The sequence below is a fragment of the Homo sapiens genome, chromosome 4 (assembly GCF_000001405.40).
Source record: "Homo sapiens chromosome 4, GRCh38.p14 Primary Assembly".
In the NCBI taxonomy this organism is placed as follows: Eukaryota; Metazoa; Chordata; class Mammalia; order Primates; family Hominidae; genus Homo; species Homo sapiens.
The window spans coordinates 25,157,472-25,175,336 of record NC_000004.12 but is presented as its reverse complement, the minus strand read 5'-3'; the positions used below and the strand labels follow the sequence as shown (position 1 = coordinate 25,175,336).

The window sequence follows — 17,865 nt, the reverse complement described above, 5'->3', positions numbered from 1 at the left end:
ATGGTGACAGAAATGTTCCAAGCGCAGTCAGCCCTCCGTATCCATGCGCTCCGCATCTCTGGTTTTAACCAACTGCAGATAGAAAATACTCAGGAAAAAATTGAGACTGTACTGAACCCATATAGATTTTTCTCTTGTCATTATTTCTTGTCATAATTTAGTATAACAACTATCTACACAGCATTTACATTGTATTAAGTAACATAAGTAATCTAGAAATGATTTGAAGGATACAAAAGGATGCGCATAGGTTATATGGAAACACTGCAGCATTTTATATAAGAGACTAGAGTGTCCACTGATTTTGGGAGGTCCTGGAACCAATCCCCCATGGATACAGAGGGATGACTGCACATCCTTGGGGTCAGCCCAGATGTGCAAGCCCTTTGAATGCCTCTACCTGAATCACATTTGCTACCACCCATCCCGCTGGTCACAGCCAGTTGCATGACCAAGTCCAGAGTGAGACAGGATTGCCTAAGGGCGTGGATGCTGGGAGCAGGAAGCATTCGTGGCTGCTTTTGTAATCAGACTATTTGAGTTGAAAATGGCCTTTAAGACCTGTCACAGAAAGGCCTATCAGGCTTCTTTTTATCACCACACTGTTCCTCCTACACTTTCCTCCTCCTGGAACCCTTTTTCTATCTGTCTTTGGACAGAGCCCTAGTCCACTTTTTTTTTTGAGACAGGGGAGTGCTCTTTTGCCCAGGTTCTGGAGTGCAGTGGCGCGATCATGGCTCACTGCAGCCTTGAACTCCTGGGCTACAGTGATCCTCCTAGCTCAGCCTCCGGAGTAGCTGGGACTACAGGGATGTGTCAACACGCCTGGCTAATCTTTTATTTTTTGTAGAGATGGAGTTTCACTATGTTGCCCAGGCTGGTCTTGAACTCCTGGGCTTAAGTGATTCTCCTGCCTCAGCCTTGCAAAGTGGTGGGTTTACAGATGTGGGCCACCATGCCTGGCCACTATTATTTATTTATGCTAGTTACTTTATATATTTTTAATTCCATGTCAAGTGGGTTTTCTTATTGACTCCTTATAGATCAGGAAAGTGAAGCACAGAAAGGTGAAGTAACTTGTCCAAGATCACACAGCTAGGAAGCTGCATAGCCAAGATTTGAACTCATATCTCTTGAACTCAAGAGGCCGGCCTTTTCAACTAGTCTTATAATTGAAAATAAATGGTTACAAATGACCCACATGCAGATAATGAAGAATTGGCCAGAGAGTGTGTGTTTGCCCACTCGCTTGGACTGCAAATCAGGCTTTAGGGGTAGAAGAAGATCTCAGGGTTCATGGGTTTTTGGGTCTCAGATTTGGACTCAGATCTTTAGGTTCACAAATTTTTCTCAGTTCTCTTAGAGAGAATCAGGCTCTGTTGAACTGAATCATTGTAACCAGTCTCACAAGAAGCTAAAAAAAAAAAAAAAAGACTAGAATGCTAATTTATTAGTGTCTATGGATTTAGAGAAGTAACAACCACACCAGCACAGATGTCAGATGGTTAGAATGACCAATAGGGAAACTAAGTTGAAATAAGAAGGTTGCAGAGTGAGTTTATTTCCTGCCTCCTTGCAAAAAGGATTTGAGTCCATTGCAACGGGAGCTGCTATTTTTAAGGAATACAGTCACCACTGAGGCATGGTGAGTCACTCTCAACTAAAAGGCTGTATCTGCCAAACTGGCAGGAAGACTCATTGAGTCATCAATGCTCTATCTCTCTTGGACAATGCTGGAGAAAGTCTTTTCTCTCAACTCTTCATTTTCAATATTCCATTAAAACATCAGTATCAGGCTTCACTTTATTGGCTTGGGATTGTGAAGTTGCTCTATTGACTCTAATTATTCCCTGCCCAGCATTACAGTTGCAGTTTGTGCAGCTGTCACCAGGGAATGGCAATGCCTCAGGCTTAATTATGTAGGAATGGGGTGATTGGTCAGTCTTTCCATTGATGTAAATAATTCAGGAAAAGTAACACAACCAAGTGAAGTGAATGATGCTTTTTCTAGAAAAAAAAAATTCTCACTTATAAAAATGTGCTACACAGTTGGGATTGTGAAGGAAAAAAATGCGAAAATCTGGTGTAAGAGTCAAGATTGAGGGCAGGAGAAAGAAATGACTCAAGATGTCTTAACTTCCAAGGGATTTAATTCAGGGAATGGCTGTTTACACAATAATTGGAAGGTCTAAGGGTATGGGCTTTAGACTAGGTTTCCAGAAATGACTCCCAGAAAAAAGCAGAACTGACCCACCAGAAGAGCTACTACCTCTGAGGCCACCACTAGGGCTACTGATTTCAACTGTGAGACTGTTCCCGTATCAGGAAGCCACACTAAACAAGCAGCTTGGCTTCAAAATGAGTTTCAAGATGTAACCTTGAAGCAAACTGCAGAAGCCTTCAAAAAAATAAACTCCACATCCCTCTCTTTCTCACCGCATACACTCCCTCCACATTTGTCTAACGGTACGCTAGTATCTAATTATGTGCCTTCTTAGAAGTTCCAGGGGCTAATCTTGAGATGGGCAGACCAAGCCTGGAGACCCAGCTGCAAAATTCCAGAGATTATCTCAAGGTGGCTAGTGAACAACCCAGCCATTGTGGAGATGATGTCAGCCCATGCTCCAGGTAGACTGAGACCCAAGACAGCCACTGGAATGAGACACACAGACATTGTATTCAGTCTAATTCTTGCATGTCTTCCATACCAAGTTTCCCCTTTTTAATCCCTTGCCCCTTGTCTTTCCCCCCAAATTCAAAGTGGTCACTTTGGATGGGAATCCAGCCACTTCCCATTACTAGTTTTGGTTAATAAAGTCACTTTCTTTCCACCAGACCTTGCTCTTGTTGAACTCTGTAGGCAACAAGCAACCGGACCCGCATTTGGTTACAGCGCTGCTCCTCACGCTGCCTCTAGACACGCAGAAGGCTGGAAAATGGATGCAGAAAGGCTGAAAAGCCTCATGTTCCTACTACCTTGTTTGCCAATGACATCAAAGGCTTGTCATGGAACAGGAAGTTGGTCTCCACCAGATCCACCTTCCAAATCTCAGTTGAGTATAATCTAATGGCCAAACTTGATTTGTTTCTGGAATGCTAGTTGGGAGGGAGCCTAGAGAATATAGTTTGTCGTTTTGTAGCCCCTGGTAAGGTTGGTTGGAAGGAGTTGAAGTGAGCCAGTCCACACTCTCCACACATCTAGGATCAAGTGGCCTATTCGCCACCATGGCTACGACTAGCTGTATCAGCTGTGATCATGAACCCTCACATTTGCGAGGGCAGGCAGAGGGAGTCCCTCCCTACCACGTGGTCATTGCCTTCCCTCTTTATTATTAACCCCTTTCATAGAAGAATCAGCTGAAGCCTAGAGGTGTGGGATATTTTGCACAAACCTATGCTGGAGCAACAAGGGGAGCCAGGCTTGGAACTCCATTTGTCTGATTCCAGAGACTGCACTCCCCGCCAGTACTTGATCCTCCCCACAGCCGCCGTCTCTCCAAGTCAAAGGCCCCTGAAGTTCTCCCTCACTCTGTTTCAAGTGGCAAAAGCCCCAGGCTCCAGGCCTGTTCACGGACTCCCGACAGATCTCCTGCAGCTTTTCTCTTGCTCCTGCTTTTACTGGGAATTATAACTATTTCAGCAGTTTTAGTGTTTGAAGGAAGCTTTCTCTACGTATCTTTCCTCCCTCTGGGGACAGGATTGCTTTACTCATCACAGGGAAGGCCTTAAATGACCTTCTGCTACATCCACAGATTTTATTTCATCTCTCTCCATTAGAAATAAAGATGAAGGCAAGACCATGGTTTCTGAGTTCTCTTAGTCTCCACAGAATGTAATTACTACATTTTTTTCTTTTTCTAATCACAGGAGACTTCTCTCAGCAACCTAGTTACTGATTCTATTACTCCCTCACTCTCCACTTCCAACTGCTCTTTGAAGCGGCTTTTTTAGGGAAATTATTCCGCTTCAAGTTGTTTAAGAGGCCTCATTAATGAGGTTGATGACAGTCAGATCCTGCCATGCCTCTTAAGAGACTTGTCGTTTCCTCTACCCTAAACATTGTAAAACATACGCGGATGGAATGGTAAAGCAATGTGGTCATTATTTGCCTATTTGTATCCACCATTAGAAAACGTCTCCTTTTCAATTTAAAATACTCTCAAAATATGAGGTGTCGCCTATTTGTCACTGGTCCCTACTCTCTCTCCTGTCTCCACATCTGGGTTCATTCAGTAACCACCAAAAGAAAAGCAACCCTTGGAATCCATTGTTATCATTTATCCATCCAAAACTGTGAATGCTTACTATGTGCCAGGCACTATGCTAAGTGCTCAGAAGAGTAGGTGAATAAATAGGGTTCCCGTCTTCCAGACGCTTCCAATCCAGATATTATACAAGCGATCAACTCATACAATAATTTAAAGTGGGTGCCAGGTGTGGTGGCTCACGCTTGTAATCCCAGCACTTTGGGAGGCCGAAGCAGGAGTATCACCTGAAGTAGGAGTTCGAGACCAGCCTGACCAACACGGTGAAACCCCATCTCTACTAAGTATACAAAAATTACCCTGGCGTGGTGGCGGACACCTGTAATCCCAACTATTCGGGAGGCTGAGGCAGGAGAATCGCTCGAACCCGGGAGACGGAGATTGCAGCAAGCTGAGATCGTACCACTACCATCCAGCCTGAGTGTCAGAGTAAGACTCTGTCTCAAAAAAAAAAAAAAAAATTAAAGTGAATATATAGGGCTTTTCCTCAAAACTAGGTTCTTACTTAGACAAAATGGAAAGGGAAGGCTTCTCAGAGGAGGTGACATTTACACTGAAGGAAAAGGAAAAAGCTGCCACGCAAAATGAAGAGAACATTTGGGGCAGAAGGCACAGCATGTGGGAAGGTGTGAGGTGGGAAAAGAAAAGGCTGGTGTATTTCCAGTGTGCAAGGAGGTGCACAGGGTGGAAGCCCACTGGCCAGAGGGAGGCTGATCCTTGAAATCAGTGGGGCCAGACCTTGCAGGGCCTTATAGGTCAAGGAAAGGAGTTGCGATCATATGCTCAGTGTGATGGGAACGGTTGAAGGGTTCCAAGCAGGGGAGGAAGGAGATGTCTACTTAAGGAATTCTCACGACTCAGTGAGGAGTGGACTGGAATGAGGGGATGATGGCAAAGAGGATGCAGAGGCCACTGCATTTGTCCAAGGGGAGCAGACAGAAGTCTGGACTAGGTGGTGGGGAGTGGAGAGGGGGAGGTGGGGGACATGAGATTTGCTCTAATGGACTGAGACATTTTAGATTTCCTAATTTCCGATCTTATCATTTGTTTTCTTTAATTTCCTTTAGGTTTATTTTCCATTCTTTTAAAAACTTCCCAGTATATATTTTCCATTATTTTACCAACTCTTGATATTAAAATCTTAACTCATAAATGTTTAGCTTTTTTTTTATTTTCTGTTACATGCTTTTAAAATTATGTTTCCAACAAGCATGATTTTGGCTGCCTCTCATATGTCTTGATGTGTGGTATTTTCATTATCATTCCATTGAAAATATTTTATAATTTTTATTGTAACATTTTCTATGATGTATGGATTATTTAGAATATTGCTTAATTTCTAAATAAGCCTTGTTTTTGTTACTGATTTCTAGCTTAGGTGCATTGTGTCAGAGGATGTACTTTGCATGATTTCACTGCTTTGAAATTTGTTGTGACTTGTTTTATGTTATGAACCAGCATATAGTTTATTCTGGTTCATATTCCCTATGAGCTTGAAAAGAATATTCACTCTGCAGTTATTGAGTACAGTGTTCTAGGAATGTATATTAGGTCAAGTTTGTTAAACATGGTATTTCTATATCTTTACTAATTTTTTCCATTAACATATTCTATCAGTTTCTAAAAGGTGTCATAAAATTTCACTAAGATTGCAGATTTGTCTATTCTTCCTTTTAGATTTTTCATTTTTTGCTTTATGTATTTTGGAACTATATTATTAAGTGTATACAAATTTAGAATTATTATATCTTCTCATACAATAATTGATAATGGTAAATTAAACCTTTTATCATTATGTAGTATTTTTCATGGTTAGTAATGTCATTTATCTTAAAGTCTACTTTGTCTAAAATTAATAATTTATGTTAGCTTTCTTTTTGTTAGTATTTGCATGTAATATCTTTTTCCATTATTTTACCTTCAATTTTCAATATTTCTGTAGCCTTTTGTTTCAGATACATTCCTGGTTAAAACAGTATGTAATAAAATTTTTTTTTTCCCATAGTTTTATTAAAGGCTTTTTTTTTTTTTTTGAGACAACAGTCTTGCTCTTGTCGCCCAGCCTGGAGTGCAATGGCGTGATCTCGGCTCACTGCAACCTCCACCTCCTGGGGTTCAAGTGATTCTCCTGCCCCAGCTTCCCGAGTAGCTGAGATTACAGGCGCCCACCACCACACCTGGATAATTTTTTGTATTTTTAGTAGAGACAGGGTTTCACCATGTGGGCCATGCTGGTCTCGAACTCCTGACCTCACGTGATCCACCTACCTCGGCCTCCCAAAGTGTTGGGATTACAGGTGTGAGCCACCGCACCCGGTCATTTTAAAGAGTATAAGTGATTTTCTAGATTGGTATCATCCTGGGATTTGTATGTTACTTTGTAGAGGACCTTAATATGACAACCCACTGCTCTTCAGGTTATTAATAACCTAGTCTTAATGTTTCTCAGCCTTAGCGTATGTGAAAAACTATAAATTGTAAATTGCTATACACATTTACATGGAAATACAAACATCATCTTGTATATGTAATTGTTTTTGTCTTTGAAAATCTAGTCGGATAATCATTGTCTTCTAATATGGATATTTTGCTTACTTATATTTGGTTTCTATGTATTCAACCTGTTCTGTTTCTTTTCCTTTCTTTCCTTGGTTTATTTTGAGCTGATTATTTTTTACTTTTTCACTTTCCCCCGTGTTTGAAAATTATGCAGTCTTTTAGCATTCCTTGAGTGGTTACCATAGAGACTACAAAATAAATTCTAGATATGCAAAAATCTAATATCAATTGGTTCTTTTACTCCCTTTTCAGATGATACACACCTTTTGGGAACAATACTTCCCAAACCTTAATATGCATATGAATCATAGAGGATTTTGTTAAAATAGAAATTCTGATTCAATGATAGTTCTGAGATTCTGCCTTCTAATAAGCTCTATGAGCCACTCTATGATTAGAAAGCCTTTAGAACACTTTACTTTCTTTACCTCCTCTCTACTTAAATAAATGCCAATAATGTTCTTTCTCCATATTTTAAACCCTACAACACTGTATTGTAATTTTTATATAGATAATGTTAATCTAGATTCACCCACTTATTTATTTATTTAATATATATATATTTTAGATGGAGTCTTGCTCTGTCACCCAGGCTGGAGTGCAGTGGTGCCATCTCAGCTCACTGCAACCTCTGCCTCCCAGGTTCAATCAATTCTCCTGCCCCAGCCTTCCAAGTAGCTGGGACCACAGGCATCCACCACCACACCCAGCTAATTTTTGTATTTTTAGTAGAGATGGGGTTTCACCATGTTGGTCAGAATTGCAGCTTTCGACACAGATAAGAGAGGAAAGCCTTTGCAACCAGATCAAAGGTAAGGCTATATATAGTAAGTCATGAGTTTTGATGGTTCCTATCAAGTTGTATTAAAACCCCAAGGGCTTATCCATATAGTTTATACATGAATAGACCAAAGGGATTTTTGTAGTTAAAGATGACCAGTGAAAGAAGCTGTTGAAGAACTTTCTTCAGGTTGCAGAAAGCCTATTCCAAGTTTGGGTTCCCAGAAGAAAAAGTCTCTTCCTGAGGTCTGAGTCAATTCATAAAAGGATATCACAATCTCAGAAAATTTGTATGCAATATCTAGTTAAACCTAGAAGTCCTATCAACTGTCATTTAGTGAGAGGTCTAAAATAAGTTTGGACAATCTTTTGCCTAATGAGAGAATGTTTTTCCCTCCTTAGACATACCATGTCCTAAATAATGGATTGTACTTTGGAAAACTTGAAATGTTTCTGTTGAAACTTTGTTCCTTTTCTGTTAAGGCTGAGAGCAAGTAAATGGAACACTTTTACAAGTTTTCTTGTTCTCTGAGTAAAATAGATCATCTACATATGATATCAGAACTGAATCACAAGAGAAATTCAGATCTTTTAAGAACTGTTTGAGGAACTGGGAAAAACAGGAGGGGGCTTCAATAAAACCCATGATTGTCCAGGTATATTGTTATCTTCTCCAGGTGAAAGCTAAAAGGTATTTACTGTCCTAGAAGTGGTCTAGAGGCACATCCAAAATAAATCAATCAATAAATAAAAAGGCAGAGCAAAAATACACTACAGTGAAGCAAGTGGTTTCAGGTAGAATTGATGCCAAGATGGTATCTGAGTTAGGTACTACTGGGAAGCAAGGAACAAAAATCTGTTGATTATCCTGAGGTCTTGCAAAATTGATATTCTCACACATTTGGTTTCTTTACTGGCAAGACTAGAGTGTTACAAACGCTAGTGCAGGGTATGAAAAGACCATTAGATATAAGGCCTTCAAATGTACCTTTAAAATCTTCCTTTGCTCTGTCTTCAAGGGATATTGGGCATGATTGGGTAACAGTTTGGTACAACCTATCTTCTCTTCAGTTTCTACTCCAGTTATTTTTTTCTATGTCTGTGGACTTTTAAGGCCACAAAATGTCAGGTACAGTGTGAAGACCTTCATGTGGGGGTATCCATCAAATATAATGGAGGAGGTAAAGGTATATCCACAGTAGGCACAACTTGATTATGAATAGATGAGTCTTCTGGAACTTTAAGAAACAATTCCTCTCTTGCACATTTAATATTATGATTCCATTTGCAAAGAGGAGGCTATTAAATTTACAGGGGCAGTTTCACAGACCAGGAAGGGATGTTTTCACTCAAGGGGTTACAATTAAGGGCTGGGAGATAGAAAAAAATCTGTGGGTTATTTGAGAGACCTACCACTTGTGTGTATGCTTACTCTGAGGAGGAGGCTCAGCAAAGGTGGTGAAGTTTAATGCAGAAAGAGCAGCAGACGTACCTACCAGGAATTGATGAGATTGACCATCTGTGTTCATTGATTTATGCTGCTATGACAGAATATTGGGTAATTTATAAAGAACGCAAACGTATTTCTCATGGTTCTGGAGGCTGGAAAGTCCAAGATCAAGGCGCTGGTATCTGGTGTCTGTTGGGGGCCTTCTTGCTATGGTACTCACATGGCAGAAGGTGGAAGGGCAAGTGGGGGCAAATGTTGTGTCCTCACATGGCAGAAGAGCAAAAAGAATGAACTTACTCCTGCAAGTTCTTTTTATAATTGCATTAATTCATCCCTGAGGTAGAATCCTCATGACCTAAATATCTCCCATTAGTCCCCATCCCCCAACACATTTGCCTTGGGGATTAAGTTTCTAACATATAGATTCTGGGGAACGCATTCAGACTATACCATCATCTATATAGTTAATTCACTTGAGAGATAAGGGCAAGGCAGGATATTGGGAGCATTTTTCTTCTTCTGAGAGCACTCTCATTGATTGGAATTGAGGGATTTTTTTTTTGTCTTGGTTTTTCTTTTATAAGATAGGACAATCTTTTTTTCTGGTTTACAATATCTGTAAGTGTCCTTGCCAAAATGGCTGGTGGGAGGAGGGCCACCTAGCTGTTTGATCTGTAAGACCATAGTTTATTTTGGGCCTTGTGTCATTTTTATTCTAAAGCCCTTTCAAAATGTTCTGACAGGTGTTTAGTTCAGGTAAAGAGCTATTTTCCATTCTAATTTCTACTTTTGAATTAGCCTTCTAGTTTCGGATTTAACTCCATTGACAAAATAAGACGAAAGGGCTGCTGTTACACTGGCACCGTTGTTAACTCCTGAATATTGTCAGGAGGTATATTACAGTCTATCCTGAAAATCTCCTATAGTTTCATCTTGTCTGTGTTTGCATTATTGAATTATGGTACAACAGATTTTTATAGAAAACGTTTGGGATATTGCTTTTAGGAGGCTGTGTTCTACTTTTCAGGGCTTTTTTTTTTTCAGACGCTTAAGTTTATTGGGGAAAAAGCGATCCTTGTAGATCCCTTCTCATGTCAGTCCAATCAGCTTTTCTTTAAATCCAAGATTTAACACCTGAGGATCTGGCCAATATATGTATACATTGATATATTTAGGTTAGGTAACCCTGAATCATATGCATTCAAATGAATCCTAAATTCTTCTATAAATAGTTGCTGGTCTTGTTTGGAAGTAGAGAAATTCTTGATTATTGCTCTTAATTCATCTTGGGTGCAAAGTTTAAATTCTGCAGTTGCCTGCATACCTGGCTTTTGAGGGGAGAGGGATCTTTAGAAGCAATTGACATTTTAGAGTTTTAGGAGAGTTGTTGGGAAAATGCAGGAGTCCTGGACAAGAGGAAGAGAAGGGGGGAGTTGATGGAAGGGAAGAAAGAGAGCTATCAGAAGGCTAAGGGATAAGAGGGACATCTGGATATAGGGAGCCAACGCAAAGGGGAAGATTTACTAGGAAATGAGTCTAGTTTGTTGTTGCTTAAGATGTCAAATTGCTTGTTAGCTTTAGCCAAAGCATCTTTTAGTGGAATAATTCTTGAATCAGAATTTCCTTTGGAGGCCTCTGTGTACCACTAAAAAACTGTTGCCCATCAAACCTAAGAAATCTTAATTCCCTTTCTTTTCTTGCCCATCAAATAAAAAATTTTGTCAAGTCAAGTGTTTCCCAGAGTGGCCACTGAAGGCCCAACTCCTCATTGCTGAAGTTATGCCACTTAGAGAGATAGGCACAAGCATTAGGATTGTAATGAGAGTATGTATAAGAAGCAGAAGTTTTTCCTGGTGGAGAGGATTTAGACTTAGAGCTGGCTACGGTGTTGAAAGTTATGCTCGTGCTTATCCTGTCTCAGTCCCCAGCCTGATTTTTGCCCCTTTTGAACACAGACCGAACAATCTGTGCCCCCTGGCAGGCAGAATATCAGAATGACCTCTTTCTTTGGATCAAAAGCAAGCCCTCAGAACAAAAAATCAAGATGAAGGGAGAACTTCATCCAGTTTTATTGGTGACCCACAACAAAATTTGTCCAAACGGATGTAGTCTGGTGAGAACTGCAAACTCATCGGTCTGTGAAACTGGCTTAAACAACAGGGTTGTAGGGCCCATGGCCATGTTCTACCCTATGATTCTCCTTCTTATGGAAAATAACACTTTTAGATAGCACAATACAAAACAGAAGTACAAAGGACAGCACAAAGGATGAAAAGGAATTGCCTGATTCCACTAAGGATGCAAATAGGAACCAGTAACAAAATCTGAGTACCAAACTTCAAATGAATAGCTTAGGAACTCAAGGCAAACAGGGAGGAGTTCCAAGCCAGCACTGACTTACCATGTTGGCATGGACTTGACAAGCCATAAGCAACAAGGCACGAGGAGCCCCTGTGGGCACCACAACTGGCCAAAGGCTGAGGTCCACCGCCATGGACAGCACAGACCATGTCTCAGTGAAGTCTCCAGGAAAACTGGAAATTCAGAGCGTGCTAGAGAAGGGAGTCAGTCACCATCATTTACATTTGTCAAGAGTCTCAAAGGCAGGCAGGGGAGTGGGAAAGCTTTATAGTGAAAGATTCAGGTACAGGGAAGAATTCAGGTGTGCCGATTGGAGGTGTTGGCAAGGAGAAGCTAGAGGTTGGCTAACTAGAAACAGGGCATCTTATGTAATTTAAGGAGGATATTTAGCTTTCTCTGGTTGGTCTTAAGTTAGAAGCGAGTAATAAAAGAGGGAAGCTGGCAGTCATTGCCCAAGTCTTAACCATTCTTGGCTGATTGCTGCAGAGGTGGTGGTTTGGAAGTCTAGTTGCTAGAGAGGTTGTGGGTGAGAGTTCTGTTATCACATATGATCTGGCCATTGTCCATTTGTATAGTCAGTCTATCTAGGGGAAGATGTCATTGAGCAATTACCTCTCATTTAATCATCATAACTGCCTCTTCCATATCCCCATTTTACAGATAAAGCAAAGCTCAGGAAGTTTGAGTAATGTATTTAAGGTTATACAACTAGTGACCCTAGCAGAATTTAAACCTGTGTGTTCTGGACCTATTTTAAATGATGCTTCATCTTGTAAAGACCATGAGGTTATTCTGATGTTGCCCTATTAAAAATAGTAATTACATACTATTATTAAAAATAGTAATTACATACTATTTTAAAATAGTAGTTACAAACTACTATTTTAAAATAATAATTACATACTATTTTTAATAGATAGCATCATTTAAAATAGGTCCAGAACACACAGGTTTAAATTCTGCTAGTGTCACTCATTGTATAACCTTAAATACATTACTCAAACTTCTTGAGCTTTGCTTTCCTGATCTGTAAAATGGGCATATGGATAAATACTTGTTGGGTGAGTGAATGGATGAAAGTAATTTTAGAATACTTCTCTTGAAATTGCTTCCAAAGCTGGTATCTTTTGAATACCTTTAATGAATGCATATCTTGACAATGACTAACTTTTTGGAAACAGACAAACATTTTTCTGAAGTAAGGTGGTGAATAAGGTAAGAGAAGAAGCTGGCTCAAAAACCTGGCGTGTCCATTCAGTAATGACATTAATTTTGGGATTTTTGCACATTTTGCATGTGATTGACAAAGCAGCTTTGAAGGCTTTTCCAAAGAAGAAGTTGCAAAAATAGTTGCATTTTGAGAATAGGAACACAACTTTCCAAAAGTTTGAAAAATACTCATTTTAGAAAGTATGCTAAATTCTTGTTGTTTTGTGGTTTACCTTTCTGTTTAAAGTAGTTAAATGCTCTATGTCATTCAACAAATATTTATCAAACAGCTATTATGTATTTAGTGCTGTGCTTTGAACACAGATATTGGTATAGCCCTTGTGAACCAGGAGTTCACAGTCTAGTTGAGACAGAAAATTAACAATTGAAATGCAATTCAACAAATACCATAAATAGACTGATTTATATTAATAGCTGGATGCCATGGGAACATGCAGTAGAAACAGTGATGAGCTGGTACATGTTGAACAACTGACTTCTAGGGGAGTGGGTTGGAGTGTAAGGGCCTGATTAGCGGTGTTTACTGATTTCCATGGTGTAAATGCTCCCACCATGGCCAACGTGACATCATCAAAAGAGGAGTTGGAAGATGTGCAGTAGTATAACATTACATTGAATTTCCACCATATAGATAAAATGCATGTAAATAACCTGAAGAGCATAGATAATAGTAAAATGTAAAATAATTAGGAAGTGACAAATTTTGAGTATTTTTACTTTTGCTTGTAATATAATTTTTGAGTGGCTGTATTTGAAAACTAGCTCACAAAATTACTGAACATTTAACAATCAGCTCTTGCAAGTGGGTGTGACTCAGTGCAAATGGACAAACCACCAGGTGAAAGCAATGTCAGGAATTACTGTAGGCTCACATAAGATGAAGATTGTAAGGAAACTGGAGGCAGGGATCTCCAGCAGTGAACCTCTAAGTTGTTGAACTGTTACAGCACTGCCAGGTTCCTATGCCGGCTGTGCAGAAACAGACCAGTATTCCGACAGCAGGCTTGCAGCAGAGAAAGTTTTAATAATCACAAGTTACAAGCCAGGAAACAGGAAGAGTTCTCAAGCTTCAATCCATTTCATCAAGGGGTTCTAGGCAAAGTTTTTTAAGGGGATTTGTGGAGGGTGAGGGGCTGGAAAATTTGGGGTTATCGATTCGTTGGGGTAAGGGAGATGAAATCATTAGGATGTGACAATTGCATTCCTCCATGAATCAGCTTTTTATTGGGCCTTCCAGACAAGTTGGCGTCCTTAGTTTTGTTGGTATGCGGGACCTAAAGAAGCAATGCAAACAGAAAGCTTATCTTCTCATAATGTCTTAGATTTTATCTTCAGAGCAGAAAAAGAATGAAGAGTCTTGTGACAAGGGCCACATTCTCCTGGGGTAGTAAGTAGCAACCAGCTACAAGAAAGTCGGCCACACTGCAAGCTGGCTTAATAACAGCAGCTGTAAGCCTAGTTGGATTTTTTTCCCCTCCTTAATCAATTTTACAAAATGTTCTTGGGGATAGTTTCAGAATGGTCAAACTAATTCATTAATTCAATATCAACTTTTTTTTTAGGCCCTACTTTATTCTGGGCACTGTTTTAGGTGCCCGGGGGAAGGGGGCACCGCAGCAAAAACCGAGGTCCTGCCGTTAGGTTAGAGAGTTTACATTCATGGGTATGGGTGTGTGTGTGTGTGTGTATAAACAAACGTCTGGCATGTCACGTGGTGAGTAGTAAGTGCTATGGCTAAACAGTAGTGTCAAGGGGAAAATGAGTGGGGCACTGCTATTTCCTATGGGGTTGTGAGGCAGTAATAAGTGTGGAAATGTATCAAAGTAAAGATCGAAGGTTCTGGCATCTGACAGTTTGAATAAGGCGGAAGCACAGACCCTGCACAGATCTCAACCATCCAACAGGACTGAAACACAGAACTTGGAAAAACCCACGTACCTGCTTCTTACTCTGCTCGCCCGGTCTGCACAAGTGCAAAATCCTTTCCTGAAGTTTGTGTCAGGAACACCAGGGTTTAACTAGACGAATCAGCCGCAGCGGGGCGGGGCTAATTTCAGTCCTTCCTTTGCCAAAAGTCAGCGAAAAGCGCGGACTCCCTCGCGCATGCTCAAATACGCCAACTTCCTCCTGGAGCGCCATCTGAGAAGGTCTGCGCATGTGCACGAACGAGAAGTGTTTTTTTTGTTTTGTTTTGTTTTGTTTTGTTTTTTGTCCCAAGGCGCTGCCGTACCGTCCAGGCGGCGAGTTGCATTCTGGTTCCGTCGTGTGTCTGGCGTGTGGAGCTAGTGCTCCCGCTTATTCGCCACTGTCGCCACCGCTGTCATGAACCGCGAGAGCTTCGCGGCGGGAGAGCGGCTGGTGTCGCCGGCTTACGTGCGGCAGGGCTGTGAGGCCCGCCGCTCGCATGAGCACCTCATACGGCTGCTTCTGGAGAAGGTACCGAGCTGTCGGTCCCCTCCCCAGCCGCCGCGACCCCGGGGCTCTGGCTCCGCCGGGCGTCCCCGCTGGTGCTGCCTCACCGGCAGCTCTTCGCTGCTTGAGACTAGTCCCAAGTCTGTCTCAGCTTGGCTTGCCCTAGCTGACCGACTGCGGTCTGTGCCTTCTCAGCCTTGCCAAAGCCAGTGAAAGCCAAATGGTGTTGTTAGGAGGGGGTGTTGGGGTCGGGGTTTTGAGTCCCGCTGTTTCTAACTTCGGGATGCGGAAGTGAGGGAAAGTCCCAGTGTACTTTTTTATTCGCGGAAAGGGCAAAGTTCGCACCTCCATCTTTCACCAACCCTCAACGACTCAGAACACATAATGGTGTTTGTAGACTGTATGCTAACTCGAACCACGAGCTTTCCGCGGAACTTCACAGGTCTCCCTCCTGCCAGCGTTCATGTATTTTAATTTCATTAAAAGTTTTGTTGTGTTTTGTTTTTTTGAAACAGAGTCTCGCTCTTTCGCCCAGGCTGGAATGCAGTGTGACGATCTCGGCTCACTGCAGCCTCCGCCTCCCGGGTTCACGCCATTCGCCTGCCTCAGCCTCCCGAGTAGCTGGGACTACAGGCGCCCGCCACCACACCCGGTTAATGTTTGTATTTTTAGTAGAGATGGGGTTTCACCATGTTGGCCAGGCTGATCTCAAACTCCTGACTTCAAGTGATCGGCCATTCTTGGCCTTCCAAAGTGCTCGGATTACAGGCGTGAGTGAGCTACAGCGCGTGGCCAAAATTTCACTGAAGTTTGACAACTACCGCCCTTCTCCACGTCCCACCGCCCCAGTCGTAACGCCCTGGTTTGAAGCATCTTCACTGGGGATGTGTTGTATTGGTTTTCAGTTAGTTTCACTTACGGAAATTTAAATATCTCAGTAAACCTCATTGTATGCATTTATCATCACTTCTCGAAATCTGTAAATAATTGTAATCAAATGTACAAACGTTTTGCCTCTTTGCGGTCTCTATACAGTGGTGAATTTATGCTTGAATTTTAGAAAACAAGCAGCGTGGCAAAATACACGTTAAAAAGAAAAACTGTATTCCTGTAGTATTCTAGAGAACGGTAGTTTTATTAAATATAATCATAAGTTTTTTTTTTTTTTTAAGGGCAAGTGTCCAGAGAATGGCTGGGATGAAAGTACACTTGAACTCTTTTTACATGAACTTGCAATCATGGACAGCAACAATTTCTTAGGCAATTGTGGTGTGGGAGAAAGGGAAGGGAGAGTGGCATCCGCACTGGTTGCTCGTCGTCATTACAGGTATCTTTTTTTAAGTAGTACAGGAGATACATCGTTTATTTATTTTTGGTTCAAAATAATGGCAGCAGTATTTATCTTATTAGATTATCAAATGTCAGTTTGTAAACCACTTCTTCCCTGCTCTAATGGATATGTAAGCCAAATGCAACAGGGAGATGGAAACAATTTTATCTCAGCAGGTGCTTTTCAAAGACAATAGAGTAAAAACTAAGTGGGGGTTACCCTGTCAGGTTCTGGGTGACTAACACAGGCTATACGTTTTCTTAGGAACGGTTACCCTAATAAACATATCTGGTTGTAAGAGTTCAAAATCCATTAAGGTTGTTTATAGCTTTCCATATTTCTTTTCTAACATTTGTAGTGTTTTTTTTTTTTGAATGATTTATAGTTATCAACTTTAAATTTTGTTTTAAACTGTGTTTAAACTGAATCTCATTTTATAAATACCTCTGTTGCAATAGATACAGGGAAAGGTGTATTAGATTATTAAGTGACCTTTTTCTTTTGCATTATTGCAGAAAGCTTTTCATCAATTCTGATAACGATTTAATTGGTAGTTAATTGGTAGTTAATATGATCACTCATTGCTCTGTCCACTAACCTTTCTGTGAAGTGTAAACTCTTTTAAATGAAACTCCTGTCTTCCATGCTTTTACATTATAATGAAAATTTCCTGGGCATCGTAGAATTTGTATTTCAGTAAAAACCACTGCAGTCAAAACTGATGATAATGCCTAACTTGGATGAAAATTTCAGTTAACAGTTTGCTGATAACATGGTTGATAATATATGTAAGAAATGTTTTGTACATGAGATTTCAGTGGTGAGGAAGTACAGCACTAGTATTCTTCGATAATCCTCCTATACCGAATTTCTGATATATTTGACTGTCAATTAGAAATTACTCAAATTACGAAAGGGTTTTTTATTTTAAAGAGTATTGAGAGGTATCTTTAAACAATGTATAATATTGTCTAATTTAAAATGAGATTTGCACACTGATTTTCTAGGAGCATATAGTTCTTTTAAAATTAAGGCAATATTTGAACCATCATTGGAACTTAGCCCAGTGTGGAATTAGGGGAAAAGTAAAGAAAAAAGATAATTTGGCCGGGCACGGTGGCTCACGCCGGTAATCTCAGCACTTTGGGAGGCCAAGGCGGGCGGATCACGAGGTCAGGAGATCCACACCATCCTGGCTAACATGGTGAAACCCCGTCTCTACTAAAAATACAAAAAAATTAGCCGGGCGTGGTGGCGGGCGCCTGTAGTCCCAGCTACACGGGAGGCTGAGGCAGGAGAATGGCGGGAACCTGGGAGGTGGAGCTTGCAATGAGCCGAGATCGCGCCACTGCACTCCAGCCTGGGCGACAGAGCGAGACTCCGTCTCAAAACGAAAAAAAAAAAAAAAAAGATAATTTAATATTTCATGTATTCTAGTTTTCTATTGCTACAGAACAAACCACCCTAAAATTAAGTGG

At 40.9% G+C, this 17,865-nt stretch overlaps 1 protein-coding gene and 1 long non-coding RNA gene across 7 annotated transcripts in view, besides 2 other annotated features; one reads left to right on the top strand and one right to left on the bottom strand.

The window, feature by feature from the left end:
* The window catches only part of SEPSECS-DT (SEPSECS divergent transcript), a 37,835-nt gene extending 23,170 nt beyond the window's left edge, over positions 1–14,665 (bottom strand). The window contains exon 1 of the long non-coding RNA NR_037934.1: positions 14,584–14,665. This is a non-coding gene — a long non-coding RNA (SEPSECS divergent transcript). The remainder of the gene's footprint in view (positions 1–14,583) is intronic.
* Positions 14,625–14,924: an enhancer, noted in NCBI's record as "active region_21370". NCBI's record gives its function as "activates an Ori minimal core promoter by ATAC-STARR-seq in GM12878 lymphoblastoid cells {active_cell/tissue: GM12878}" and the evidence as "EXISTENCE:reporter gene assay evidence [ECO:0000049][PMID:35858748]".
* Positions 14,755–17,865, top strand: part of SEPSECS (Sep (O-phosphoserine) tRNA:Sec (selenocysteine) tRNA synthase) — a 40,569-nt gene continuing 37,458 nt past the window's right edge. Inside the window, exons 1-3 of one of the 6 annotated variants that reach the window (XM_011513846.3) lie at positions 14,888–15,081; positions 15,573–15,709; positions 16,230–16,384. In XM_011513846.3, the coding sequence (XP_011512148.1) occupies positions 15,599–15,709; positions 16,230–16,384 (266 nt within the window). In that variant the 5' untranslated portion in view covers positions 14,888–15,081; positions 15,573–15,598. Of the gene's footprint in view, positions 14,793–14,887; positions 15,523–15,572; positions 15,828–16,229; positions 16,385–17,865 lie in introns of those variants that run through there. The other 5 variants (NM_001410714.1, XM_047415762.1, NM_016955.4 and 2 more) reach the window with 5 other exon arrangements.
* Positions 15,035–15,204: a silencer, noted in NCBI's record as "silent region_15319". NCBI's record gives its function as "represses an Ori minimal core promoter by ATAC-STARR-seq in GM12878 lymphoblastoid cells {active_cell/tissue: GM12878}" and the evidence as "EXISTENCE:reporter gene assay evidence [ECO:0000049][PMID:35858748]".